The 698-nt window shown below is 42.7% G+C and overlaps 1 annotated feature.

Moving 5' to 3' along the window:
• Nucleotides 372–481: an enhancer, noted in NCBI's record as "active region_28213". NCBI's record gives its function as "activates an Ori minimal core promoter by ATAC-STARR-seq in GM12878 lymphoblastoid cells {active_cell/tissue: GM12878}" and the evidence as "EXISTENCE:reporter gene assay evidence [ECO:0000049][PMID:35858748]".

Raw genomic sequence — 698 nt, forward strand, 5'->3', positions numbered from 1 at the left:
TAAGGTCTCACAGCTTCATTAGCTGTGGGCTAAAGGCTGAGCCAAGACTAGAATGCCCCAATTTTCAGATAAAAAAAGCTGAAGCTCAGGGATATTGTCATTTACCCATGAGCTCACAGGCAGGAAGTGGTGAAACTATCATTAAACTACGGTTGGCCTTGTTCTTTTGTGGTTTCATTTCACTAAGCCTCTGACACCCTGACCTCAACTTCCTTCTGTAGATATGTCACCTGGCCTCCTTCAGTCTAAGACACTACACACTGGCCACACACTTTGTCATCCTCATAGACTGACAACCTGCTCTCACATACCCTGCTTTCTTACTGTGTAGGCTCTCTTTTCTTGCTCAGAATGTCCTTCCCCACTTCTTCATGTGCCAACTCCTAGTCATCCTACAAGAACCACATTCACTTTAAGTTTCTTTTGAAGCCTTTTCAGTGTCCCATACCCTGATCCCATTACCTCTTCTATGTATGCAGGGCTTGCTTCATGCTTGTGTAACCCAAGGGCCCTGCATTTGATTTAACACATTTTAAAATTCTTAACAATTTATGAAAAAGGAAACCCATATGTTCATTCTGCCCTGGACCCTGCAAATTATGCAGCCAATCCTGTGTGTGTTTTTTCATGTTGCGTAGACTCTATTACAGTCAGTAACATATTGAGAAAGAGTGTGTGTCTCCTCTGATAGTCTATGA

Source organism: Homo sapiens, chromosome 9, assembly GCF_000001405.40.
Source record: "Homo sapiens chromosome 9, GRCh38.p14 Primary Assembly".
Classification (NCBI taxonomy): domain Eukaryota; kingdom Metazoa; phylum Chordata; class Mammalia; order Primates; family Hominidae; genus Homo; species Homo sapiens.